Here is a 26,511-nt window from a genome sequence, read left to right as displayed (position 1 = left end):
ACAGATAGTCCCTGATGCCAGGACTGACTGACTTTGACTTGCTGAGCACAGCATAGCACTTCAGAGCTGACTCTGCATCTGGGATGCCTGAGTTCAAATCTTGATTCTACCTCTTAATGTTGTGTGACCTTGGGCAAGTTATTTGACTTTGGTGGGCCTCAGTTTTCCCCTCTATAAAATGGGGATAATAGTACCCATCAAGTTGCTGGAGGGTTAAATGAGTTAGAATATGTAAAATGCTTAAAAGCAGCGCCTCACACGTGTCAGTGGCCGTGCCTAATTATTTTAGTTGCTGTGTGCTTCCGGGGTCGCTCGTGCTCAGCTGTCATGCATGTTCAATGTGGCATAGACTTCGATGTCACACACACAATCAGGCAAAAGGCCACTCACCCCTCTCAGACCTGCTGGACTATGCAGGCTTCCCCTGAGGGGTAGGGGGCCAGGCTGAGCAGCAGCCAGTAGCTTTGAGAGAGACCTGTTTCTTCTGAAGGCACTTGCCTGCCCACTGTAATGCTGAGACACGTGAGGCCAATAATCACTGTCATTGGTTGCCTTGCACCCGTTCATCACCCACGACTTTAGCTCCTCAAACATGGGGTGAGTGTTTTTCCAGGACCAGTGCTTTTTTGCTGAGTAGGAAGACAGCCCCCCACCCCCCTGATACCCTTGTTCATTAACTGATCCGTTCATTGATAAAACAGCTAATGAGCACTTACTTGGGCCAGGCGCTGTGTGACATGCTGGGGATCCAGGAGTGGGCAAGAGGCTGCCCCTGGCCTTGAGGAGCTCAGAATTTGTGGTAGTCAGAGCAATGGCACCTCAACAATGTCCACATCCCTAGAATCTGTGAATACGTTACCTTATGCAGTGAAAAGGGCTTTGCAGATGATTAAGTCAAAGTTGTTGATAGGGATAGATTATTCAGTGGGCCCAATGTATTCCCAAGCGGGAGGCAAGAGGGTCAGAGTGAGTGGAAGAGCTTGGCAGGTGGAGGCCAAGGTCCCAAGCCAAGCAAGGCAGGTGGCCTCTAGAAGCTGGAAAAGGCAAGGAAGCGGGGCCTCCCTGGAGCCTCCAGAAGGAACTCAGCCCTGCCGACACCTGGATTTTAGGACCTCTGACCTCAGAACTGTCTAATAATAAGTCTGTGTTATGTTAGGCCACTAAGTTCATGGTAATTTGTTACAGCAGCAATAGGGAAAGAATATGAAGTCCATTGAATAAGATGAACAGGGAGACAGGTAACTGTGCTGTGGACGGGTGAGTGATGTGATACTGAGATGTGGGTGTGGCGAGAGCCTGGAGGAGTTCCCCTAATCTAGAAGGGGTTGGGGGATGAGGCCAGATAAGGCTTCCTGGAGGAAGTGGTATCTAAATGAAGGTCTGAAGTGGGGTTGGGAGCTAAGCAGGACAAATAGGAGGGTTGGAAGCAGGCAGAGAGCAGCCTTCCAGGCAGATGGAGCTCACGGAGACTCAGGATGGCTCGGGGTCAAGTGTAAGTGGAGGGTGAGGAGGGATGGGGCTGGAGAGGTGAACTGCTACATCTCCAGGGCTTTGTAAGTGTTGCTAGAGCATTTGGACTTTAGCCCAAGGGCAAAGGAGAGCCTGAATAAGTTTAGGCAGAACAGTAACATGATGACTTTGTACTTTAGAAAAATCCCTCTGGCTGTCATCTAGTCAAGAGATGCATGGGGCAGGCTCAGAGCTGGGGACGTGGCAGGAGGCTGACGCCTGATGTAGGTGAAGGGTGACGTGGTTCAAAGGTGGTGTGGTTCAAAGATGCAGGTGAAAAGTGATGTGGCTCAAAGGAGGAGGATAAGGAGAGTGGACTCAGTTGAGAAACCAGAGCAAGGAGAATCAGTGGAGGATGATTCTGTGTGGCTTAGAGAGAGGGGAAACCAAGAATGATGCTTGGGTTCAGTCTTGGGTGGCCCAAAGTCTATAGGGACGTCAACTGACATCAGGAACACAGGAGGGGAAATGGCTTGAGTTGGAAGAGAAGATGTAAATTCCTTTTTGTGAGACAAGAAAGTAGATGCTGAGGCTGTCTCAGCAAAAGAGATCTGGGTGGAAGACAGTGATTTGAAAACTGTCAGGATGGTGATAGATGGCTAATGTGAGCTCCATGAGAACAGAGATCTTGGCTAATGTCTGGTGTCTCCAGAGCTTACACAGCACACACCCAATCAGCACTTGCTGAATAAAAGATGAAATGAACCTGAAGTGGTGGATGAGATCATGTAGAGAGTAGGTAGTGTACACAGAGGAAATCTATGGGTAGGCAACATTTAAGAAATGGAGAGAGCTATTATTAAAACAAGGATTTTTAAAAGCCTATTGATTTTGGTGACAAGGTCAATGCAATAACCTTACAGAGAGTGATTTCAATGGGTTGAGTGACAGTGAGGAAAATAAAGGAGAGGAGAAAAATTAACCTGCAGCTGAAGGGTTTTAGGGGGTATAGATAGGGCTTTTTAAACTGGGAGAAAATTAAATACATTGAATTTGCATTTTCAAAATTACAAATTTAAATGAGCAGAACTGTAACTGAGGCAGACAAATTCTAAGGCGGTCCCAATAACCCTTCCCTTTGAGTGTGGGTAGCACCTGTGACTTGCTTCTAACCAGTAACCTATTGCAAAGGTGATGGGGTGGCACTTCCATAATTATGTTGTTATATAAATCTTCATCCTGCTAGTCAACTTGCTATAGGGATCACTCCCCAGCTGGTTTCAAACAAGTAAATGTCCATGTTATGAGGCTCCCTTGGCAAGGAGCTTAGCACAGCCTCTAGGGGCTGAGGGTAATGACAGTCAGAAAGAAGCTATGGCCCTCAGTCCCAGAGTTTCAAGAAAATGAATTCTGCCATCAACCTGAGTGAGCTTGGAAGTGGATTCTTCACCAGTTGAGTCTCCAGATAAGAGTGCAGCCCAGCCGCCATCTTGAGTGCAGCTTTGTGAAGCCCTAACCAGGGGACCCAACCAAGATGCACCTGTATCTGACCACAGAAATCGTGAGGTAATATATATGTGTGTGGCTTTAAGCCATTAAGTGTGTGGTCATTTATTGTGCAGAAATAGATAGCTAATATAGTAACTTTTTAATTTATTTTTTTCCCACTTAAAAAAATGGAGGCAACAACATACAGTAAAGTGCACAGGTGTGTCCAATTTGGTTAATTTTTATCTATGTATACACTCATGCAGCCATAACTCAGATCAAGATATGAAGATCTGCACTGCCCCAGGAGGCTACCTCACACTCCCCTCCCCTGCTGCTCCCAAGGGCCAACAACTGTGCTGACTTCTACTACCATTAGTGTATCTAAACCGTTCTTGAAATTCCTATCACTGGAATAACCCAGGATGTGCTCTTTTCTATTTGTCTTCTTTCACGTAGACATTCATTCGTGTGTTAGATGTATTGGTAGTTTGTTCTTTTTATTTATTCCTTTTTAACGAATATAGAACAGTTTATTTACCTCTATGGTTGATGGACATTTCAGTGGTTTCAAGTTTTTGCCTATGATAAATAAAGCTGTCATCAAAATCTCTTGTCCATGTCTTTTAGTGATTTCTGTTGGGTCCATATCCAGGAATAAAATTGTTGGGTTATACTGAATGTGTATGTTTAGCTTTAGTAGATATTGCCAAACATTTTTTTCCAAAGTGGTTGTATTAATTTTTACTCCCACCAGCAATGTATAAGAAGACTAGCTTCCCAAGCTAATCAACACTTCTATAGTCAGTCTTTTAAATTTTTAGCCATTCTAGTGTGTTGCGGTATCTCATTGTAGTTTTAATTTCTATTTCTCTAAGGACTAATGATGTTGAGCACATTTATTGGCCACTTCTATATCTTCTTTTGTGACATGTCTGCTCAAGTTCTTTGCCCATTTTAAATTGAGCTCTCTTTTATGTATTTATTTATTTAATTTTATTTATTTATTTTTTTGAGACAAGAGTCTCACTCTGTTGTCCAGGATGGAGCACAGTGGCACAATCTCAGTTCACTACAACCTCTGCCCCCCAGGTTCAAGTGATTCTCTTGCCTCAGCCTCCCAGGTAGTTGGGATTACAGGCACATGCCACCATGCCCAGCTAATTTTTGTATTTTCAATAGAGACGAGGTTTCACCATGTTGGCTAGGCTGGTCTTGAACTCCTGACCTCAGGCGATCCAGCCACCTTGGCCTCTCAAAGTGCTGGGATTACAGGCATGATGAGCCAGTGCACCTGGCCTACTTATTATTTTTAGGAGTTATTTATATGTTCTGCACATGAGACCTGTGTCAGATATGATGCATTTCAAAATTCTCTCCCAGTATATGTTTTGCATTTTCACACTTACAATGTGATTTTTGATAAACAGAGCTCTTAATTTTTAATAAACTCCAATTTCTTTTATGGTTTTTATGTCTTTTGTGGTTAGTGTTTTTTGCATTTCTAGTTTAGTAAATCTTTGCTTATCCCCAAATAATATTTTCCTATGTTTTCTCTTAGAAGCTTGCTTTGTTATAAAATTTAGATCTGTGACTCATCCTGAATTAATTTTTATGTACGGTGTGAGGTAGGAATTAAGGTGCATTTTTTTCTATGCCAATATCTAATTGCTTCAGCACCATTGATTAAAAAGAACGTCATTTATCCACTTAATTATGGGTGTCTTTGCCATAGATCAAAGGACTGTATGTGAGGGTCTGTTTCTGAGCTCTCTATTTTATTCCATTGGTCTTTTTGTCTATTTTTGGGCTAAAACTATGCTGTCTAAATTATTGCTAAGTAGTAAATCTTGAAATCAGGTTGTTTAAATCCTCCAACTTTGTCTTTAAGTTTTCTTGTATTTTTAAAGATCCTTTGAATTTCCATATGAATTTTAGAATTGACTTGTCAATTTCCCCAAAATAAACTGCTAAAATTTTGAATGGAATCATATTGAATTTATAGATAAATTTTGAAAATCAATGCCATTTTAACAAACTTGAGCTTCTCAGTTCATGAACATAGGATATCATTTCATTGACTTAGATCTTTGTTAATTTCTCTTAGTAACATTTTGTAGTTCTCAGCGTTCTTTTTCACAGAAATTATATCTCTACCTCCCATTTACTCTCAGTAGTGGTAGAAAACTTAATTTTGCCAATTGAGGATAACTCAGTCACTTCCAATGACTTCCAGTCCATAAGCCCTTAGCCCTCATCTGTCCTTGCTAGCCTCTGCTGAGGTATAGTTTGTCCTTGCTGTTCTCTCAGTGGTGGCCACTGTCCCCACTCTTATTTGCTGCTCATATTTGTTATAAAGTTATAGTCTCACGTAATCCACATTGCACATCTGGCCACTGGCCAGCTCAGGAAACACAGAGAGCTTTCTCACGCTTGGACTGATACACTACATGGGAATGCAGGACTATTGTGTCACCAGGCACAGTCCCCAGCCATCTTTATGTTGTGGCTCCATGCTGTCTGAATATGGGACATCTCTAGTGACCTTGTAGTCTCTAATTCCTCTTAATGGACCTGTGGTTTTTGGCCTACACACTTCCTGAGGGATTTGGTCAGCAGAGGAGAGAGGGAAGCAATCCCAGCTTGGGGCTAACCTCTCTCTTTTTCTCCCTCTCTCTCCCCCAACTCCTCCCCTCAGTTCTGAAATGTCTCTAGTCTCCTTTATATGGCAAGAAAACTGGTCCTAAATCTTCAAGTACATTTCCTCCAACTCTATACTTAATGATCTTAAACTGAAAGCTCTAAATCCTCGAGTCTCCTTTCTTGATTGTAAAAGCCAAAGCTTGTTGTACCCCTTACACCAACTCTGCACTGGCATGATCCTGAGAGTGAATGTCCCCTTGAATGGCACCTCCCTTGCCCCACCCTCATTCCAGTGTTGTGGTCACGGCACTTAGCTACCACGTGGACCACCCTTCCTTTGGGAAGACTTCACAGAAGGGGCAACGTTTAAATAGGGCCTTAAAGGAGGAGGGGGAGTTTGTTGGGTGAAGAAGAAGTGAGTGTGTTGAGGAATGCAGCCCTGCCTTAGTTTTGGGGATGAAGAAACAGAAGGAAGGAGGAAAAGGGGTTGGTGGGAAGCACTTAGGTTTGTACTAAGGGGAGACCAAGTGGTGAGAACACGGACTCTGACGTCACATGGAACTAGGTTTGGATCCCAGTTTTGCTCCTAACTAGCTCGGTGGCCTTGGGCATATAATTTAACACCTTTAAGCTTCAGTGTCCTTAGTTGTGGAGTGGGGATATGAAGGCATGTTTGTTTGAACCGAGATGGGGACAGAGTAAGTGTAAGGATTACACCACACAGAGCGAGGCACCCAGAGGTGCCCTTTTGTGACAGTGGGATAGTTACCCAGGTCCTCTGATAAACATGGGATGACCCTTGGAAGCCCCTGAGGTTAAAAAGAAAAAGTCATTGCAACAAGACCAGCTCAAAATTTAAGCCACATGGTTTATTTCCTTCTGTGGTGTGGATGAGACAAGCCATCTCATCTACCAGGCCTGGTGAACACCAGGCTGACAGTGTCTCCTTGTCCCCTGGAGACGAAGCCCAGGTCCTGTGGTAACCTTCTGTGGTAGCCTTGTCCTTGGGCTATGGGGGTGGGGAAGGGAGTGCTGAGAGGCACAGGGAGGTCCCAAACTGCCACTGCTGTGCCCCTGTCGATGCTGACTGTGGTGGTGCCTCAGGAGTGGGCTGGCGGCAGCTCTCCCCTGCAACCTCCCCTCCATTGGGAGATGGTAGGGGGTGGGGGGCGGGGCCAATGCTGACTTCATATTACAGACAAGGAAAATGAGGGTTTCCAGGAAGCAGGGGGACAATGCCTGGCCTAGACCCAGGACTTCAGGGAGCCTGGGGAGCTGGAAGGGCCTGATGAACCTTATCTGGTTCAACACTCTAGTTTCCAAATAGGAAACCTGAGTTCCATGGATGTGGCAACAGATGACAAAGGACAGAGCTGATCTTGGGGCCAGGAGACCTGCGGCCAGGCCACTACCCTGCTGTGAGGCCTTGGCCTGGTATCGGCACCTCTGTGGAATGCCAGAGTCAGACTCTTCCATTCTGGAGGATTCCGGGCTCTCTGACCTTCCCGAGGCCCGAGGGTCAGGGCAGGCCTCGAACCTGAGTCTCCAATGAGGCCAGGATTTCCCCAATGAGCAGAGAAATGCTTAGATGCACAAGGTGGGTGTCCTGGAAGGGTGACAGGGCTCAGGGAGCTGAAGGACACACACCCCTGACGTCAGCCCGGTGTCTTTTAGAAAGAAAGCACTGGGGAAAGTGTGGGAGAGATGTCCCTGGGGACACTTCACTCAGATGCCGGAGTATGTGTAGATGTGGTGAGGGAGGGCAGCTGGGATGGGGCTGGCCCCTGATGAACAAGGTGGGGGTGGGGAGAGGCTGGGCCCAGAGGGAAAAGGCTGGACTCCACCCGCAGGTGCCACATCTGCTACTCAGACGACTCCTTGGGCATATGCCACATTGTCATAGGCAGGGGGCGCAGAGGCTGCCGGGCTGGGGATGTTGAAGTCTGCGCTGAAGGCGTTTGGCAGGAAGATCACAGGCTGCAAAGAAAACAGCACTGAGCGTCCTGGAGGACGCTGGAGCTTCAGGGTAGTGGTTCAATAGTGCCCCCTTGTGGGTAATCTGAGAACAGCGCCCTGGTACTGAATTCCGCAAGTCTGAATCGCATGCTCAGGGCTCTCCGTGCAACCAATATTTCAAACAACATTTACTGGGGCCAGCTATGATCCAGGCATTGGGAGTACAGCAGTGAACAAAACAGACAAAAGTCCCATTTCTCCAGGCGCTAACGTTCTGCTGTTCTTTTTTTTCTTTTCTTTTTTTTTTTGAGACAGAGTTTTGCTCTTGTTGCCCAGGCTGGAGTGCAATGGCGTGATCTCGGCTCACTGCAACCTCCGCCTCTTGGGTTCAAGCTATTCTCCTGCCTCAGCCTCCCGAGTAGCTGGGATTATAGGCGCCTGCCACCATGCCCAGGTAATTTTTTGTATTTTTAGTAGAGACGGGGTTTCATCATGTTGGCCAGGCTGGTCTTGAACTCCTGACCTCAGATGATCTGCCCGCCTCGGCCTCCCAAAGTGCCGGGGTTACAGGCATGAGCCACCACGTCCGGCTCTGCTGTTCTTTCTCTCCCGACTGCCCTGGCCTGGTTCAGGACTTCGCTCTCTCTTGCCTGCACCGTGGCACCAGCCTCCTTGCAGCTTCCTGGCCTCGAGCCCCGCTTGTCCACCCTCTCCACCTTCCGGCACTGGACAAATCCTCTTGACTGATTTCCCTCAACCAGCTCACTCCCCTGCTCAGACCTTCAATCCCCTCACCCTCAATGCATCCCATCGTGCACCTGCCAAGGGCACCCCACCCTGTGGCCTGCATTTGCCTGCCCGAGGCAGCCTTTGCTCCAACTGGTTCCCCTGCCTTGAACACTCCCTCCAGCCCCTTTCTGTCATCACTGTCCTCCATTTTTTTTGGAAATCAAAGCTTAATTTCCATCTCTATCATGCTGCCCTCCCTGATGCCCCTGTCTCCCATGTGGCCTGGGAACTCCAAAAAGTCTCACTCCTCTGGGTGCAGCACTGCCCCCATGCCCTGAGCCTGGGCCTTCTATTCTGCAAGGCTGCCTGTGGGGCTGCACAGAGCAGTGGCCCTGTGGGTGCTGGTGCACCCAGTGCCACGGGGAGAGCAGTCCTGTCTTCACTGACCTGCGAAGACGTCTTTGGTTTTGTTTTGGTTTTAGAGACAGCCTTCCTCTGTCACCCAGGCTGAAGGGCAGTGGTGTGATCATAGCTCACTGCAGCCTCAACCTCCTGGGCTCAAGCGATCCTCCTGCCTCAGCCTCCCAACTAGCTAGGAGTACAGGCACGTACCATCACACATGGCTAATTAAAAATACATTTTTTTTTGTAGCGATAGGATCTTTTTATGTTGCCCAGGCTTGTCTCAAACTCCAGGGCTCAAGAGATCCTCCCATCTCATTTTTCAAAGTGCTGGGGTTATGGGTGTGAGTCACCATGCCCAGCCCAAAGACTTCTTTGGGCCCCCTGACATGGATGGGACACCCTTCCTAGCGCTGTCTCTTCTTATTGCTTCCCAGAGTGCAGAGGGAGGGGTCTGGAGGCAGAGCGCGCTCCCAGCCAACTGCCTTCCACACAGGCTCAGCTCAGGTTTAGTGGACGTGGGGGTGGGGGTGGGGGTACTCACTGCACTGGCCTGGGCATGGATGGCTTGGCACCCGAAGTGCATGGCAATGACCGCTGTGAAGAACTCCAGGACAGTGAAGATAGTAAGCACGGCCAGATAGCCCCTGTCCACATCCTGGGGACCAAAACCCACAGAAAGGTGAGCCCAGAGTTCTAGAGTAAGGGGGTCCCCCGAGTGAGAACCACTTGCCCAAGGTCATGCGGCTAGTTGGGAGCAGAGCTGTGCCTGGAGCCAGTCCCCCTGCCGCCAGTCCTGCACCCTCCCCTTCACCCTGCAGGCTGCCTCCTTGCTCCTTCTGATGCCTATCTTGGGGAAGGCTCAGAGGATCCATGGATTCATGGGGTCTATAGGGACTGGCAGGCCCTGCCAACGTCCTGGCGCTGCAAACTCTCACCTCCCTACCCTCCTGGACATGGCTGCATCATTTTCCAAGTTTTCCCACCCCGAGGGCCATCTGACAACGCACCCGGTTGGTAACACCAAAATCCATGAGCAGAATGGCTGTCCCAGCAAAGGCCGCCATGACGCTGAGGATGTTGGTGCCCAGGCTGCTCCTCACCTGCAGAGAGCAGAGAGACAGGAGCAGAGGGAATAGGCAAAGAGAAGGAGAAAAGGCAGGGGCTGTGGCTCAGCTGCCCAGCCCCCAGCACGCTGCCTCCCACAGCCAAGGAGGCAGTGGCCACACCACCCTGCACACAGCTGTGTTCTCATTGACTGCTCCCCTTTTCTCTTCTCCTCCCCTGGGACCTCGGGAGGAGGTCTTGTTGTCTCTCTTTCCTTCTCTCGTCTTCTTGGAAGCTGCTAGGGAGAAGGGCACCACCTCCTTTACAGCCTTTCTGGGTGGAGTTTGCAGCCTCCAGCTTACCCCGTACTGTGGCTCCCTCTCCCCCAGGCCCAGCACCTCGCAGGAGAAGCTGCAGCTGAGGCCTGCTCAGGGGCATGGGTTGGGGGAGGCTCTTTGCTGTGGACACTGAGGCCTGGTTGGGAGAGGGGTTGAGTTCATTTCTATGAGGTTCCAGGAAGTGGCTGGCGGAGTGAGGCACTGCAGACACTGGTGGGGCACCAGGCAGGGGAGACAGGAGAGGCAGGAGCTGAAGGTCTGAAGTCTGGGTGGGCTGAGAGGCCTAGGACTCCAGGGTCTAAAGAGCGTGCAGGGCAAGTGACTCCTGGGGTGGTCCAGGCAGCCACCCAGGGGTCACCATCCCCGTGCAGCCCGAACCTGACGGTCTCGTGACCCGTAGCTGGAGCCTTCTGGTTAAACTGCCCCAAGGGGAAACATTCATGGGTGGGCTGGGGACTCTAGGACCTCTTCAGGTTTAAAGACCCCTGATTCTTCTTTTTAAATGGCAATCAGGAGGTCATTGAGATCAGAACAGCCTCACAAGAAATCCATTAATTGATTAAGCCAAAAGCTTTTATTGAGCACCTACTGCATGCCAGGCACTATGCAAAGTGCTGTGAGTCCAGGAGAGAGTAAGTCAGGTCTTGTCCTCCTGGAGCTCACAGCCCGGGGGACACTGGGTTTGGTCCGGAGAGTCCTCGCTTCTAGTCCTGCCCCTCCACAACCCATTCTCTGCCCAGCACCTGGGATACCTCTCAAGTATGGAAACAGGGCAAGGAATTCCCTGCTGAAGCCTCTGTGGTCTCTCATTGTCCTTAAAACAAATCCTGAACTTGGCATTTAGGCTCTGAGTCACCTCCCCGGCCTCTCCCTCTCGGCCCACCCCTTGCCTGTGATGGTCCAGCACTCTGGTCCCCTGTCCAGCCATGGCGTTTCCCGACCGGGCTCTTCCGTGGTTGTTGCCCTCTGAACTGTGAAGACTCGGTTCCGTGATACCTGCTCAGGGACTCCAGACCGTCCCAGCTGAGCTTAGAATGACTCATATTATCCTGCCTGCTTCCTTTCAGCACTTCTCATGCTTGGCAACCATCTTTGTTAGTTTGCTTTACGGGTGTCTACAAGGCACCAGAAGATAAATGCCATGACCTTCACTGCTATGTTCATGACCTTCGCTGCCGTGTTCATGATCTTCATTGCCGTGTTCTCTGAGCCTGACATAAAGCTCATACCCTCCTGTTCAAAGCCTCCATCGCCTCCCAGTGCCTGCAGAAGGCACCAAGCCCTCCACAATCCAGCCCCATCATGGGATTAAATCTCTCTGTCTGATTTCTTTCCACTTTCCTTCTCCTACCTTTGCCTTCGTTGGATGGAGCCAGGCGTGGTTTCAGTGGCGACCCTGCCCACACTCCTCCGTGCATTCTCCAGCTTTCCCTGTGGTATTTCTAAGTCCTCTCTGCTCACCAAGGCCCAGCAGGACTCTTACAGGAGATCTTCTAGCATCTTTCCTTTCTCGGAATGACCATGAGCATGGACCTCACTTTCCACCCTGGCTTGTGTATTGAAAGAGTATCCCTGTCTTCTTCTCCTGGACATGCACAGTCTGCGTCTGGTCTGCCTGGGTGGTGCCCCTCCCCTGGCACTTTGCAGGTCCCCTGAAGTGCTGGGGAATGAGCTGAAGGAGTGAGTGGATGGGAGGGGCAGGGTAGAGTGAGATTTAGCTGTGGCTTCATCCCCGCCCCTGGGTCCCCCTGTTCACACTCACCAGGCAACTGGTGTGGTTCTTCTCGGCTGCCACTGAGAGGGATCCGGAGATGATGAACTGTATGGGGAGAGGGGACCAGGTGAGGCCTCAGCCAGGACCCTGGGCAGGGCAGACCCTGCTTGGGATCTGTCAAGAGGTGCCAGGGAGAGACAACAGCCTCCTGATGCCACTTTCTCTGCCAGGCAGGCACCTTGGGGTCTCTCGGCAGGGGTGTCCCCTGTCCAGAGAACTAGGGCTGTGGCTTACAAGGTGAGTGTTTTCATTGACGTCATATCATCAGGGCCTCATGGGGAAGGCATTGTTCCTTCAAACATTCACTCATCAAACATTTACTGAGTGAGGCTGAACTGAGTGAGCTCATGCCTGTAATCCCAGAAGTTTGGGAGGCCGAGGTGGGAGGATCTCTTGAAGTCAAGAGTTCAAGACCAGCCTGGCCAACATGGTGAAACTCCAGTCTCTACTAAAAATACAAAAATGAGCTGGGCAGAGTGGCGTGCACCTGTAATCCCACCTACTCGGGAGGCTAAGGAGCAAGGATCACTTGAACCTGGGAGGCGGAGGTTGCAGTGAGCCAAGATAGTGCCACTGCACTCCAGCCTGGGGGACAGAGTGAGACTCTGTCTCAAAACAAAAAACAGAAAAACCAAATATTTTCTGAGTGGCAGTTATGTGCCAGGAACATAACAGAGTTGAATAAGGCAGACCAGATCTCTGCCCTCAAGGAGCTTTTTTTTTTTTATTTTATTTTCTAAGATGGAGTCTTGCTCTGTCACACAGGCTGGAGTGCAGTGGCATGATCTCGGCTCACTGCAACCTCCGCCTCCCGGGTTCAAGTGATTCTCCTGCCCCAGCCTCCCAAGTAGCTGGGACTACAGACGCCCGCCACCACACCCAGCTAATTTTGGTATTTTTAGGAGAGACGGGGTTTCACCATATTGGTCAGGCTGGTCTTGAACTCCTGACCTCGTGATCCACCTGACTTGGCCTCCCAAAGTGCTGGGATTACAGTCATCAGCCACCGTGCCCGGCCGGAACTTATATTCTAATTGGGGAAGACTGACACTTAGCAAACAGTGAAGAAAAGTACAGACAGTGGTGCTAAGAGCTGTGATGAAGTCATAGCGGTCACTGGGGCTACTCGAGGTTGGGTGGGTGTCAGGGTTGTCTCTGTGAGCTGGGATGACAACAGCCGGGCACGAGGCTATCCATAAGGATAGCCCAGGGACCTGCATCATGGCACCTATGTACTTGGCAGTCGCCTGACACACTGAGGTGGGGCTGGCCCTGCGTCTGCCGAGCTGAGAGGGTGGAGCTGAGCAGTGCTGCGCCACTCTGGGCCTGCAGCTTAGCAGGTCTGCAATTTGCAGGGGGCACTCAGCTGCCATGCTGGGGAGACCGCAGGGTCAGCGGTGGGTGGAGGAGGCCCTGGGGTGACACGGAGACAGAGGACCAGGAATGAGTCACTACAGGTCTCAAGCAGGTGTAGCTCAGCATGGTGGCCATGGGGGTGGGAAGAAGCGGACACACTCAGGCTATGCTCTGGAGGGTGATCCGGCGCGACCTGCTGCTGGGGTGGATGCGCAGCAGGGAAAGAAGATTCTAGGACAATTCTTGGGATATGTTTAGCTTTGGCAGTTGGGTGGCTGGAGGTGCCATTTGCTGAGATGAGGAGGTGATAGGAGGGATAGGGCTGGGGACAAGCCTATGGCAGGAATCAAGAGTTTCATTTTGATATACTGAGTTGCCTTTTCAGCATCAAGCGGAGTTGTCAAGAGGGCAGCTGGGTTTAGAATCCGGCTCTCTGGGCTGGAGACAGGCATGATGTCTTATTGATGAGAAAGTCAAGCCCCAGAGACAGGCAGCAACTTGCCCAGGTTCATACAGAGAAGGAGGCCTGGCTGCACCCGCATGCCGGCTGACTGCCTCTTTCCTTCCAAGTCATCCACCATCCTGGAATTCTGGGAATGTTCAACTAAGGTCTCCTTTGAGCCTCCAAGAAAAGCTATGAGCCTGCTTTCTAGAAAAATGCACATAATACCCCTGTACTTTCAGGGGTCCCCAGACATCAGTGATGTGAAGATCCAACACAATGATTAAATGTTGGAGCTCACAGGTGTCCTGTCAGGATCTCCCGACGCTCATGTCTCCTGAGATTGAAAATCAAGTTTTTGCTTTTGTTCCTTCCCCCATTTTTGAAGCTTTACTGGGCATATTTGTGATAAAGCCTGGCAGGAGGGGGCTCAGAGGGGAAAGTGACCCCTTTGTTTCTTCCTGTTGTGATTTCTCCCCATGGGTTCTCCCGATTGCAAAATTTTCCTCCACCTTCAGGTCAGGGGGACCATTCAAAGTGCCAGAGCTTGTCCCCAAGGATGGCCAGGTGACCATCCTGATCTGGTTGTGATGTGTCAGCCATTTGTCCTCCCTGAACCCCATTCTGGTGGATTTTGTGCTCTTGCTGGAGGCAGCCTGGGCAGGGGAAGAAAGTCACTGTGCCTCGGTTCTGGAACCAACACTCACACAATGGAGACCCCTTTTATGCAAATCTCTGGCTTTCTCTCGAAAAAGGACTTGCTCAACAGTCACCATTTGGTGCAGAATTTTAGCGTTAGTAATCCACTCACCATGCACATTATCTCTCGATTTCCTCTGCAAACTATGAGGTAGGCAGGGCCAGATCTATGAGCCCAAGTTTTAGATGAGGAAGTTGAGTATCGAGATTCAGTGACGTGCCCAAGGGACTCCATCTTAACATGCGGTGAAGCTGAGATTCAGACCCCGTTGACCTGACCCTGAGGCCTGTGCTTCCTTGGGGCGGCTGGAGGCTCTGGTGATGTATTGATGGGGGTGCAAACACCAAGGTTCACGGTATACACTCAAGTGCCCTTTAATGTTGGCAGTGACAAGGACTCACCTGCCTGTTTTCCGGCACGGGTGAGTGGCCAGTTTGGCCGGAAGGAGGTCAAAGGAATGGGCTCAGGGGCTTCAGAGCTGGTTGGACTCCCAGGGGACAGAGCTCCTGGAGGGCTGGGACCCAACTCAGGGAGCTAGAGGGTTTCTGCGGGAGGGGTTTGGTTGCAGGGTGAGGCTTAGGATCTGGGCAGTGCAGGTGGTTTGGACCCAGCCCTGATGCCCTCCATCCCTTTTTTTTTCTTTTTGAGATGGAGTCTTGCTCTGTTGCCCAGGCTGGAGTGCAGTGGCAAGATCTCAGCTCACTGCAACCTCCGCCTCCCGGGTTAAAGCGATTCACCTGCCTCAGCCTCCCAAGTAGCTGGGATTACAGGCATGCACCACCGTGCCCGGCTAATTTTTGTATTTTTAGTAGAGACGGGGTATCACCATGTTGGTCAGGCTGGTCTCCAACTCCTGACCTCAAGTGATCTGCCTGCCTCGGCCTCCCAAAGTGTTGGGATTACAGGCATGAGCCACCGTGCCCCGCCTTTCCCGTCCTTTTTGGCAGCTTCTCTGGCTGTTTGCTGGGAGCTTTTGATCCTCAGGGGTGGGGTCAGGCTCAAGTTTATGGTGAGCGTTTCCGGCAAGGAGTTAGATTTAGACTCTAGTTCTTCTAGGAAGTGCCTCCAGGCCCCCACCTAGGAGAGGCTGTGCCCAGGAGGATGGTGGGGGTGGGCGCGTGGGGGAGAGGTGAGCCTGGGCAGCATCCCCCTACCCTCCCTCTCCATGGCCCCGGCACTCACGCAGGCTCCTCCCCAGAAGGGGACGCCGCCCTCGATGAAGAAGATGCCCACGTGGCCGCGGCGAACCATGAGCAGCACGCTGCCAAAGCCTAGGTGGATGAGGCCGATGAGGATCTGCACCGTCTGCGGGAAGCCCCGAGGCTCAGTGCCGCGGGCCCTGTTCCACACCGCCCCCTGCCGGCCCCGCGGAGAGCGTGGCTGGCCCCGCCCTCCTCCCGCTTGTTGGCCACTGGGAAAGAAACTCAGATTCTGTTCTTTAGAGGCGATATTATTACAGAAACCAATAGACACTTTTAAGGAGAAAGCTAGTTCCCCGCAGCCTACGGGACCCACAAAGCACAGCTCTCTCAGCCAGCCTGCCTCCTGTTTTCTGCTCTGATCCATGGATCTCAAGCATCGCTGTGTCCCTACCTGGCTTTCTCAGGACTCGGTTCAATGGCCCAACATTCCCTGCACCGCATGCCTCACCTTGCCCTTCCTCATCTCCCACCACCCTGTCAATCTGCAGCGTCCATCACACAATTTCCGTGTCCATCACTGATCGTCCCAGCCCTGTGCAGCAGCTGCCTCTCAGCCTGCTGAAATCTCCAGTGGGATTTTTTCTCTTTCTAAGAGTTGGTTTACCAGCACCCTACTAGTCTATGCCCAGAAGTGGGATGGTTTTCCCAAGTGTGAGCTTCTAGTAAGGTCTGCCAAATAGCAGAAACATTGCAACGTTTTGGGTAACTATTGAATTCCGGAACTGAGTGGAAAGAGATGTTGAAGACCGCTGGAATCCAGCCCTGGGAGCCCAGGAGCCACTTCCGGCTCCGTGACTTTCACGGGGACTCCAGTGACCAGTACTCACCACTACCCAAACCAGCATGGTCCTTTTATGGGCAGTTCTGACTGGGAACAACTAGAATTGTCATGTCAGCATCACGTGGAATATATATTTCTTTCTAACATGAGTGCCAAGTATTTGGATATTCATGGACATGAGCCCCTGAATCTTCAGCTTCTTTTTCTCTTCAGCTACACGTCTTTCATCTTTTCAGTGTCCTCACAGGGCACAGCATGGCATGGTGTCCAAGTCGCCAGCGTTGCTCCCCTTCCTTAGATCTTTCCCCTGTGGATAGACCACCACAGCTACTGCCATTATGCCTTGGGAAACACCAGCTGCCGCTTATTGAATGCCTGTCTATGCTAAGCACTGTGCTGGGGGTTTTACAGATGTGGTCTCATTTAATCCTAATGAGAAGAGGTAGGTTATTACTATTATTATTATTATTTTTGAGAAGGAGTTTCACTCTTGTTGCCCAGGCTGGAGTGCAATGGCACCATCTCAGCTCACTGCAAACTCTGCCTCCCAGGTTTAGGTGATTCTCCTGCCTCAGCCTCCTGAGTAATGGGGATTACAGGTGCCTGCCACCACACCTGGCTAATTTTTGTACTTTTAGTACAAACGGGGTTTCGCCATGTTGGCCAGGCTGGTCTCGAACTCCTGACCTCAGGTGATCCACCCATCTTGGCCTCCCACAGTGCTGGGATTACAGGCGTGGGCCACTGCGCCTGGCCAGAGGTAGGTTATTATTATCCTAATTTTGGAGATGAGGAAACTGAAGGTCAGAGATGTTCAGTAACTTGCCCGAAGTGTCCCAGCTATGAGGCGGCAGGCCAGCTAAGTCTGCAGTGGTATTCTTAGCGGGTGGCATTCCATAACTCTTATTTGTATTTTCCACTTTTTTGTGCTTTTCAGCAGTTTGTTTGTCTCATCAATTTTTTTTTTTTTTTTGGAGGGGGAGAGCTCTGGTTCCCAGGGTCCGCTTTGAGGCTTCGAAATTCCAGCCGCTGTCTCCATGGGCCACAAGTCAGTGGCTGTGTGGCCCTTGGTGTCTGTGCCCCCAGTCCAGTCCCCCTCTGCACCAATGGATGTGGTGCAGCTATTAGGATAGAATTCCAGCATGATTGAGCCAGAGGTCCTGGACGCCACAAAGCAGAGGGGTTGAAAGTAGAACTTTAGGGTCAGCCATCCCTAGTTTACAGGATGCCATTTATCAGCTGTGTGGCCTTAGGCAAATGACTTAGTCTTAAGAAACCTCAGTTTCGTAATCTGTCCAACAGGAACGATGATCCCCTTCTTACAAGGTGGTGCTGAGAATCTAGTGAGATGATGCATGCAAAGTCCCCGGCACAGTACGTGCACCTCTCAGAGATGCTTCATAAGTAAGAGCTGTCATCATCTTCACCTTCATCATCATCACCATTGCTTAATCTATGCTTTCATCTTCTACTTGGAGAAACTGAGGCCAAGGAACATACTGAAGAATCTACATATGTGTGTATATAATTAAAATAGCAGGTGGCCATTAGCCTGTCTCCATAATTTGAGTTCCTACATAACAAACTGCAACCCAACCAGTACAGAAACACACTGAAACCTAACCTAGGAGTATATTTTTGTAACAGATAGCTGGGTTTCAGCTAATGACAAACAGCTTCAGCCAACTGATCAGACTATGCCCAAATAAGGCAAATGCCTCATGACATCATGCCCAAATAAGGCAGACACCTAGCTGCAGCTGATCGGGAGATTTCTCTACTTCACTTCTGTGTTTGGCCTATAAGAGCTTACTGCTCACACAGCTGGATGGAGCTCTCTGAACCTCTTCTGGTTTTGAGTGCTGCCAGATTCCTGAATTATTCTTAGCTCACATAAACTCTGCTAAATTTAATTTGTTTAAAGCTTTTCTTTTTCTTTTTTTTTTTAAATGGGGTCTCACACTGTCACCCAGGCTGGAGTGCAGTGGCATGATCGCAGCTCACTGCAACCTCCACCTCCCGGGTTCAAGCAATTCTCCTGCCTCAGCCTCCCGAGTAGCTGGGACTACAGGCACACGGCTCCACACCCAGCTAATTTTTGTATTTCTAGTAGAGACGGGGTTTCACCATGTTGGCCAGGTTGGTCTTGATCTCCTGACTTCATGATCTGCCTGCCTCGGCCTCCCAAAGTGCTGGGATTACAGGCGTAAGCCACCTCACCTGGCCTAAAGCTTTTCTTTTTAACGCTACATGTATACACACACACGTGCAAATGTGTGTATGTATCTTTCTATCTCTACCTAATATTTTATGACTTCAGTATTTTATTGAGACCAATAGCTCAAGGCCATCTGAGATTGAAATCCTTCATGTGCCTTCAGCTCTATCAGGGCTGACTTTCATCTATCACTTTCATTCCATCTCACCTCCCCCTTTCCTTTGCTCATTACATTCCAGCTATGGCGAGCTTCCACCTCTTCCTTTAACAGCCACACTCATTCCCAAGGCCTTTGCACTCTACCTGGTGAGCCCTCCCTCTCCAGCCCTTCCACTAGCTATTCCCTTGGCTGGCTTCAATCTAACAGCCAGGTTTGGGCTTAAATGTCATCTCCCCAGAGACAAGTTTCCACCTACCCTCGCTAGTATTCCCCTTAGCCCTAGTCATCATTTTCAACCTTACTTTTCTCTTTGGAGGTTTCTGAGTCATTTGTTTACTGGTTTACTCTCTGTGAACTTTATGCGGGAAGGGTGCTTGTCTACCTGGTGCATGGCTGAATCTTTGAGTCATTACTACATATTTGTTAACTGCCTTCTCCCCTCTCCAAAACATGCATGAATGTTCCGGTGCTGGGATACTCACTACCTGCCTCAGGTTGTGCAGAGAGGCTGTTCTTACCCCCAAAACTTTGGGCTCTCCTGTCAGGAATGTCTCCACGGGCCGCAAGTCAGGTGGCTGTGTGGCCCTTGGTGTCTGTGCCCCCAGCGGTGGCTCCTCAAACTGCATAATCCCTGGAGGTTGGCACATGGATGTGGGCAGAATGGCCGGAGGTGGGCAGAGGCCACTGGCGTTGTTTGGCGGGATGACAACAAACACTCCATTGCTGGCGGGAGCTGCAGACATCGTGCTCAGAGAGCCTGGGAAACAAAGGCTTGGGAGATAATAATGGCAATGATGATTGTCACCCATGTGCATAAAGCTTTTTAGTTGATAAGCAACGTGCCTACTTCCCTTGCTTACTGCAGCCCTGCCAGTATGGCCCCAAACGCTCTCATCAAAGCTGGGGAAGCTGAGACTCAGAGAAGCGAAAGATGTCTGAGGTCAAGGGCCTGTAGGTGGGGTAAGACTGAGATTTGAATTCTAGTCTCTCTGGTTTCAGAGGCCTTGCTCTTAATCTCTGAGCTATATTATGTGGAAAGCTCCTTTTGGAGGAGTGTTTATTTAAATGCCCTTCTTTTCCCAGAAAGGGCAAGTGACTTACCTAAGGACACACAGCTAGTGCAAGGTAGAGCTTAGCTAGAGTACCGGTTTCTTCACCCCGAGACCAGGACTCACTGCCACTTCCTGCCTCTCAGCTCTCAACTATTGAGCTAGCGTCAATAATTCCCCTGGGTATGGGAACTTCCCACCTGCTGTGGGAAGCTTTCTATTTGGCCACCCAAGCAATTACCATTGATGTAGCCAAGAAATGTGTAGATATGGAAACTTTATGCAGAGTTTATAGCTTGCAGTGAATGCCAAGAATGAGTTCTTAGACAATTCCAGCTGAGTGGGCCTCGAGCGGGGGTGGCGGGGAGCTCTTCTGAGAGAGTCCACCCCAGCATCTGTCCGCCAAGTATTTATTGAAAGAGCTTGTTAAACCACAAACATCCACTAGATGGCTTTTTGAGGGTCATGAGACACCTATGACCTTATAAAAGCTCTCAAACCACCTTCTTAGGAGGCTGTTTTCAGCGTTCCTTATTACACACCTCAATCCTTGTCCTGTTTTTAGGGTCAAGGAGTTACATTCTCATGCATAAATAACATACACAGAGTGCCTCAGTATTTTTCCATGCCCCAACCTCAAATGCCATGTACATAAGCTTGGATATGTTGCCGTGCACCCTCAACATCTCCCCCTTCTTTAATTTTTAGAGTATGTTGGTTATTTAAAGCGAGGTAAGCTTTTATTGCTTTTTCTTGGTTATAGATGCACTGAGTGACAGCACAGAGCCATTTGTACATACCTAGCAAACAAATACAAAAAAGAATAAGTATATTGGCCATTACCCAAATGTGTATGTTTAACCCAGATAACTAAGTGTTTGGGTTTAACTATTGAAAGCCTTTTTATAATTGTTGAAGGGTATTTGTTTATAATTGCTGTGACCATTTTTTAAGTTGTTTTTTAAATTTACACTTAAGAGTGGGAATTTGAGAAGACTAATGATTGTGATAAGCCCCTTGCAGGTGTGTTTTCACTCTCTCCCAAGCATATTGGGAGCTATTATATGGCAGAGGTGTGACATAGATAGAATTATATTGCCAATTACAATATAAATGTTGATGGGTAATGAATGCCAGCTGCTGATCCCCCAGCCATTCAACTGCAGCTTTAAGAGCCTCCAGGTGAGACAGAGTAGTTTGATTAATATTTACCTGTTTTTGAAATTTATGGGTTACATTATATACCATGTGGTTCACCACTGAAGCTGTGTGAATAGATTTTGTTAGAAAAAGCAGCTGCAGTAGCAGCAGTTGCTAATATAATAATAGCTGAGACTAAAAAAGCAATTAAAGTGGCCAGAAATCTTTTTTTCTGAGTATGAGACAGTGCTTTTCTAAACAGCTGCAGGGTTGAATCTCCTTCCCAGCTCCAGGCTAAATTTACAGGCAGCCAAAATTCTGCACGCCATTTTAAGATCATGACATAGGTTATATTTAACTATGTAACATTTCGATGAGACAGGCATGTAGCATACTAACTACTGGAAGAGACTTTACTACTATAAAAGGATTGATTCTGCTCTATATTAGGAACACTTTGCCCAAACAAAAGTATATAAGAGTGCGTAGTACAAATCACAACTATGTCAGTAACATTATTATGGAAACAGAGGGTATAATTGCCACTGCTAGTAATATACTCATCATGTGAAAGAACCCATTCAAAAAAAGGAAGTTCTAATCTCCAAATTTGGGTATGAGCAGGGCTTAAAGCTTGTTTCCCTTTTAGTTGTAATATTGGTCCTGAAAGCCTGTACTCTGACCAGGTGATAGACTTACTGGGGACTCCCAGATCCAATAGTCTGATTTGCAGACATAAGATAACCATGGGGACTCCAATCAAGTAAGGTGCCATTATCAAACAGAGGCCCTTGACATGGCGCAGGCTGTCTGGATGGAGACCACTGAATGGCCTCAAACTTATATCCCCAGTCCCTACTCAGACGGCATATAGGAAGATCAGGCACTTGTGTAGCTTCATTAGAGACCTCAGTAAGATTAGTGGTAATAGCAGAAATAAAGGTCAAGTTTGCAAGCTTAGCATCCCTTTTACACTGATAGTAAAGATACTCCTGAAGAATAAGAGTAACACACTTAGCATGTGCTATTGTGGAAAAACAAAGAGGGGGATTACTAGACAATACAACCAAGGAGTTATTAAGTTTAATCCATCCCAAATTTTCCACTGAAGGGTAAGACAGGGGCATCCATCGACCTCTCGTCCAAGAAGTATCATTAGATGACAAAGGCAGGTCAGCATCCCACCATGAAATAACATTAAAAACAGGGGGATTTAGAACATGACTCCAGTAAACATGTTCTTGAGGTGATCCCACTTGGCAAAGGACAAGAATTACCAGCCACCCCAACATCTATGTCGTCTTACTTTCTCAGAAGTTTTCCCAATTACCCCCAGATACATAAGAAACTGATTCTCTGCAGTTACAGAGGCTTCTATGCCTGCAAGCCGGATAGTTGCCTGTTGATCCAATTTCTTTAGCTGTCCCCAGGTAATGTCAGGTGCCTTCTGAGTCATCACCGTCATTGTCAGTCGATTCTCCAATGACAGGTCCTGTTCTCGAGAAGAGGGCCCGATATTCCCCCTTTTTTGTTTATTAAGATATACTTTACGAGTTTGATGAGCTTGTTTAATAATGGCCTGACTGGTTGAGTTACAGAGAATCCCAGTCTTGGGTTGTATGTTGATCTTATTGCCAAAGTTGCAATGCATAGCCAAAGTGAGCACTAAGATAGCAGGGGCCATTATCAGTTTTACAGTTTGTGGAAGGCCTGGAGTCATAATAGATTCAAACAAATGAGCAACTGCATCTTTAGTTTTTTCTCCGGCATGGGGATAGCATGTATTAGGTCTATATAAGTGTCCACAGTAACATGGAGAGATTTAAAACGTCCAAAGGGTGGATACTGAGTAACATCAGTTTGCCAGATAGCATTAGGCACCAGACCTCGTGGGTTGGCACCAAGTCCTAAGGAAAAAGGGGAAAGAGAATGCCATTGGCAATCAGGATAAGTTTTAATAATCATGTGAGCTTGAGCAAGTGTTAAATGAAACTGTTGTTTAAGACTGCAGGCGTTCTGATGGAAAAAAAGCATGATCAGCTTGAATTCGCAAAAAAGCAGGAGAGTCTGCAAACCACATCTGTGTGTGTACCAGAGCATTAGCTCGAGCGTTCCCTTCTGATAAGGGACCAGGTAGCCCAGAATGAGAGTGAATATGTGTGATGTAAAGAGGGTGATGATCGAAGGGGGCTTGCCCCTCCACACCTGTGGGTATTTCTCGTCAGGTGGAGACAAGAGACTGAGAAAAGAAATAAGACACAAAGTACAGAGAAAGAACGGTGGGCCCAGGGGTCCGGCACACTCAGCATGCGAGGAACTGCACCGGCGCCGGTCTCCGAGTTCCCTCAGGGTTTATTGATTACTATTTTCACTATCTTGGCATGGGGGGTGCGGCAGAAGAACAGGGTGAACAGGGTGATGGTGGGGAGAAGGTCAGCAGGAAAACATGTGAGTAAGGGAATCTGCATCATAAATAAGTTCAAGGGAAGGTACTGTGCCCAGATGTGCACGTAGGCTAGATTTATGTTTCTCTTTACCCAAACATCTCAGTTAGTAAAGAGTAACAGAGCAGTATTGCTGCCAGCATATCTCGCCTCCAGCCACAGGGCAGTTTTCTCCTATCTCAGAATAGAACGAATAGTCGGCTTTACACCGAGACATTCCATTCCCAGGGACATGTGGGAAACAGAGGACTTCCTCTTATCTCAACCACAAAGAGGCCTTCCTCTTTTACTAATCCTCCTCAGCACAGACCCTTTACGGGTGTCGGGCTAGGGGATGGTAAGGTCTTTCCAATCCCACGAGGCCATATCTCGGGCTGTCTCAGTCGGGGGAAACCTTGGACAACACCCAGGCTTTCTTGGGCAGAGGTCCCTGCGGCTTTCCGCAGTGCATCGTGTCCCTGGTTAATAGAGAATGGAGAATGGCGATGACTTTTACCAAGCATACTGTCTGCAAACATATAGTTAACAAGGCACATCCTGCATACCCCTAAATCCCTTAAACCTTGATTCAGTACAGCACATGTTTCTGTGAGCACAGGGTTGGGGCTAAAGTTACAGGTTAACAGCGTCTCAAAGCATAACAATTTTTCTTTGTACAGATCAAAATGGAGTTTCTTTTGTCTTCCTTTTCTACATAGGCACAGTAACAGTCTGATCTCTCTTTCTTTTCCCCACAATGATGGTCACAGAGGAGCTCTTACGCTGCAAGAAACAAAGCTAGTAGGGGTTCATTAGTAATGCCCTTCACATGTGCAAGATCTAAATGAGTAATACTACACACCGCATAAGCGGAATCACTAACTATGTTTATGTCTTGGTGAGGAAAAGTTTGTAAGGCCAATATCAGGGCACCTAACTCTGCCTGTTGCGTGGTTTTAAAATGTTCCTGGATTTTGTGCTGCCATTTTTGCATGGCCTATTGCCACACTGTAGCTGCTCTTCCAGTTTTTCCTAAACCATCTGTAAAGACAGTAGTGGCATGAAGCAAGGGCTCAGAAACAACAATAGATACAAATTTAACAGGCACAGTTTGTAAAAAGTTCAGGAGCTTAGAGGCTGGTAAATGAAAGCTGATATTACCAATAAAGTCAGCTATTGCGATTTGCCAATCAAGAGCACAAGCTAGAAGAGTATGAAATTGTTTTTTGCTTAAAGGTAGGAAAACAGTAGCAGGGTTATTTTTGCCATATGCCTGGTTAGGTCACAATTACAATATGTGGTTCCGGTCATTATTGCAGCAAAAGTTTGAGTCAGATGAGTTGTAGTGCCTATATTTTGGCATGCTTTAATAAACACACTGATTTCAGTGGCAGTGGCTTAGACTGGAGTTATTGCTGTCTGACAATCCTTATTTGCTTTTTCAAAAGCCAATTGTAACATAAGAAGTTTGGTAGCCTTAGGATGGGATACCTGTTTTTCAATTGCAGCTTGCAGTCGGTTGATAAATTTAATGTATGTTTCTGTGGCACCTTGTTTAACTGTTATAAAGGAACCCTGGGATTGTCTTACGGGATTTTTTTTTTTTATGTTTGTATTGCTAGCTGTGAGCATTGAGGAAATAGATGGCCACCTGCTTGACCCTGAGTCTGAGCTGAAGCAAAAGGCCCTGTTCCCAATAGCATATCAAGTTGTATCGGGATATTATTATCCAAATTTTGCAAGGACTGCTGCATGGCTAAATCACTGTACTCACTCCACCACACAGTATATTCTGCAGCTGAAACCAAAACATTTACCAAAGTTTTCCAATCATGTGGAGTCATCTTATAGCCATTTCCCAGAGCCTCAATCACCTCCTTCGTAAACGGTGAATGTACACTGTTTTCACGGATACTTTTCTTTAACTCTTTAAAGACAGTAAAAGGCAAACTCTCATGCCATCTCCTGTTGCTTTGAACAATAACAGGGAATGCGCCAAAAAGCGCCTCAGAGTCTCCCTTCCTAAGTCCCTCTTGGAGGCACCCCTCTACTAAGAAAGTTTGACGAGGAGTTGGCGTTGAGGACACGGCCACCCGATCATATAGATATTCACTGACTGGAGGTCTTATCCAAGAACCATCTCTTGGGCGGCCTCCAGACTCCTCAAGGGGGATGGGAGGCGCCATTGCCTGAACGGGGCCAACGAATACAGGTCCCTTTAAGGGTGGAGGAAAAGAGGGCAATGGCTTTTCTATAGGGGGAGGAAAAGGCTCCGGTCCGTCCTCATGATCACTAGAAAAAAATATCCTCCTTATGCCCTACAGAAGGGAATGAAGTAGAGAGAGGACCCCCCGCCCGCCTCCCGCTGTCCTGGTTGGCTCCTGTTCTTCCTTCTCCTTTAAACCTCCTGAATTCCCTTCAGGCAAAGACGGGCGGTCTGACCCACTGCAATCTGGCAGATAAAGAGGATACAACACCGAGTGTACCGGCGCCCAGGTGGTCAAAACAATAACCTCAGTAAAATGACCTTGCTCACATCCTGTTTTCAGGCAGTGACCTACCTGCTCCATAACTCAAGTCTAAGGTTCCTTGATCAGGAAACCAAGGGCATTCCTGCCGAATTAAGATCATAGCGTTGTGTAGAGCTCCAGGCTCTGCAGTGCACTGGTTAGCCTTAAGTAGCTGTCGCACTGTTTTTAAAAAACACTTTCTGTTCTTTGGTCATTTCTTGACCCATGATAATCCAACCCCTGATATTTTACGCGTGGGTCCCATCCTCCTGACGGGAGTCAGGACTGTCCCTTACCGGGATTCCCCGAAAATTGATGAGTTTTCCTCCTTCAAGCGTAACTTCAAGGCGATCACGTCGGGGTCACCACTTGCAGAGCTTATAGCTTGCAGTGAACGCCAAGAATGAGTTCTTAGACAATTTCAGCTGAAGGGGGCTGGGAGAGGGGGTGGGGGCAGCTCTTCTGAGAGCCCGCCCTTGTGAGAGCCTGCCCTAGCATCTGTCCGCCAAGTATTTATTGAAAGGGATTGTTAAACCACAAACATCCACTAGATGGCTTTTTGAGGTGGGGTCATGAGACACCTGCGGCCTTGCAAAAGCTCTCAAACCACATTCTTAGGAGGCTGTTTTCAGCGTTCCTTATGACACACTTCACTCCTTGTCCTGTTTTTAGGGCCAAGGAGTTACATTCTTATGCACAAATAA

At 48.5% G+C, this 26,511-nt stretch overlaps 1 protein-coding gene across 8 annotated transcripts, besides 9 other annotated features; it reads right to left on the bottom strand.

Moving 5' to 3' along the window:
* Nucleotides 1–6,428: 6,428 nt before the first annotated feature.
* On the bottom strand, nucleotides 6,429–26,295 carry MS4A15 (membrane spanning 4-domains A15). Of its 8 annotated transcripts, NR_103481.2 has the most exons (8): nucleotides 26,104–26,295; nucleotides 19,204–19,456; nucleotides 15,507–15,595; nucleotides 11,815–11,871; nucleotides 11,404–11,724; nucleotides 9,678–9,770; nucleotides 9,212–9,325; nucleotides 6,429–7,557 (listed from the first exon to the last, which is right to left on the bottom strand). NR_103481.2 is itself a non-coding variant. In NM_001098835.2 (7 exons), exons 2-7 carry the CDS (start codon nucleotides 19,426–19,428, stop codon nucleotides 7,447–7,449), a joined length of 723 nt encoding a protein of 240 aa, NP_001092305.1. In that variant the 5' UTR covers nucleotides 19,429–19,456; nucleotides 26,104–26,295; the 3' UTR covers nucleotides 6,429–7,446. The 8 variants fall into 8 exon arrangements, 7 of the variants coding, with proteins under 7 accessions (NP_001092305.1, XP_011543114.1, NP_001265171.1 ...); NM_001098835.2 differs by lacking the exon at nucleotides 11,404–11,724 and having other exon boundaries at nucleotides 15,507–15,629; XM_011544812.4 differs by lacking the exon at nucleotides 11,404–11,724 and having other exon boundaries at nucleotides 15,507–15,629; nucleotides 19,204–19,442.
* Nucleotides 6,831–7,460: an enhancer, noted in NCBI's record as "H3K4me1 hESC enhancer chr11:60543175-60543804 (GRCh37/hg19 assembly coordinates)". NCBI's record gives its function as "activates a minimal SCP1, AML or CMV promoter by ChIP-STARR-seq in naive H9 embryonic stem cells {active_cell/tissue: H9 hESC(naive)}" and the evidence as "EXISTENCE:reporter gene assay evidence [ECO:0000049][PMID:30033119]".
* Nucleotides 7,461–8,090: an enhancer, noted in NCBI's record as "H3K4me1 hESC enhancer chr11:60542545-60543174 (GRCh37/hg19 assembly coordinates)". NCBI's record gives its function as "activates a minimal SCP1, AML or CMV promoter by ChIP-STARR-seq in naive H9 embryonic stem cells {active_cell/tissue: H9 hESC(naive)}" and the evidence as "EXISTENCE:reporter gene assay evidence [ECO:0000049][PMID:30033119]".
* Nucleotides 7,605–7,724: a silencer, noted in NCBI's record as "silent region_3374". NCBI's record gives its function as "represses an Ori minimal core promoter by ATAC-STARR-seq in GM12878 lymphoblastoid cells {active_cell/tissue: GM12878}" and the evidence as "EXISTENCE:reporter gene assay evidence [ECO:0000049][PMID:35858748]".
* Nucleotides 8,091–8,722: an enhancer, noted in NCBI's record as "H3K4me1 hESC enhancer chr11:60541913-60542544 (GRCh37/hg19 assembly coordinates)". NCBI's record gives its function as "activates a minimal SCP1, AML or CMV promoter by ChIP-STARR-seq in naive and primed H9 embryonic stem cells {active_cell/tissue: H9 hESC(naive and primed)}" and the evidence as "EXISTENCE:reporter gene assay evidence [ECO:0000049][PMID:30033119]".
* Nucleotides 15,657–15,756: a silencer, noted in NCBI's record as "silent region_3373". NCBI's record gives its function as "represses an Ori minimal core promoter by ATAC-STARR-seq in GM12878 lymphoblastoid cells {active_cell/tissue: GM12878}" and the evidence as "EXISTENCE:reporter gene assay evidence [ECO:0000049][PMID:35858748]".
* Nucleotides 17,703–17,882: an enhancer, noted in NCBI's record as "active region_4779". NCBI's record gives its function as "activates an Ori minimal core promoter by ATAC-STARR-seq in GM12878 lymphoblastoid cells {active_cell/tissue: GM12878}" and the evidence as "EXISTENCE:reporter gene assay evidence [ECO:0000049][PMID:35858748]".
* Nucleotides 18,610–18,739: an enhancer, noted in NCBI's record as "active region_4778". NCBI's record gives its function as "activates an Ori minimal core promoter by ATAC-STARR-seq in GM12878 lymphoblastoid cells {active_cell/tissue: GM12878}" and the evidence as "EXISTENCE:reporter gene assay evidence [ECO:0000049][PMID:35858748]".
* Nucleotides 19,820–19,909: an enhancer, noted in NCBI's record as "active region_4777". NCBI's record gives its function as "activates an Ori minimal core promoter by ATAC-STARR-seq in GM12878 lymphoblastoid cells {active_cell/tissue: GM12878}" and the evidence as "EXISTENCE:reporter gene assay evidence [ECO:0000049][PMID:35858748]".
* Nucleotides 19,940–19,999: an enhancer, noted in NCBI's record as "active region_4776". NCBI's record gives its function as "activates an Ori minimal core promoter by ATAC-STARR-seq in GM12878 lymphoblastoid cells {active_cell/tissue: GM12878}" and the evidence as "EXISTENCE:reporter gene assay evidence [ECO:0000049][PMID:35858748]".
* Nucleotides 26,296–26,511: the final 216 nt, after the last annotated feature.

Source organism: Homo sapiens, chromosome 11 (genome assembly GCF_000001405.40).
Source record: "Homo sapiens chromosome 11, GRCh38.p14 Primary Assembly".
Taxonomy (NCBI): Eukaryota; Metazoa; Chordata; class Mammalia; order Primates; family Hominidae; genus Homo; species Homo sapiens.
Note: the sequence above shows the minus strand (reverse complement) of the source record. Positions and strands in the feature narration are given on the sequence as shown.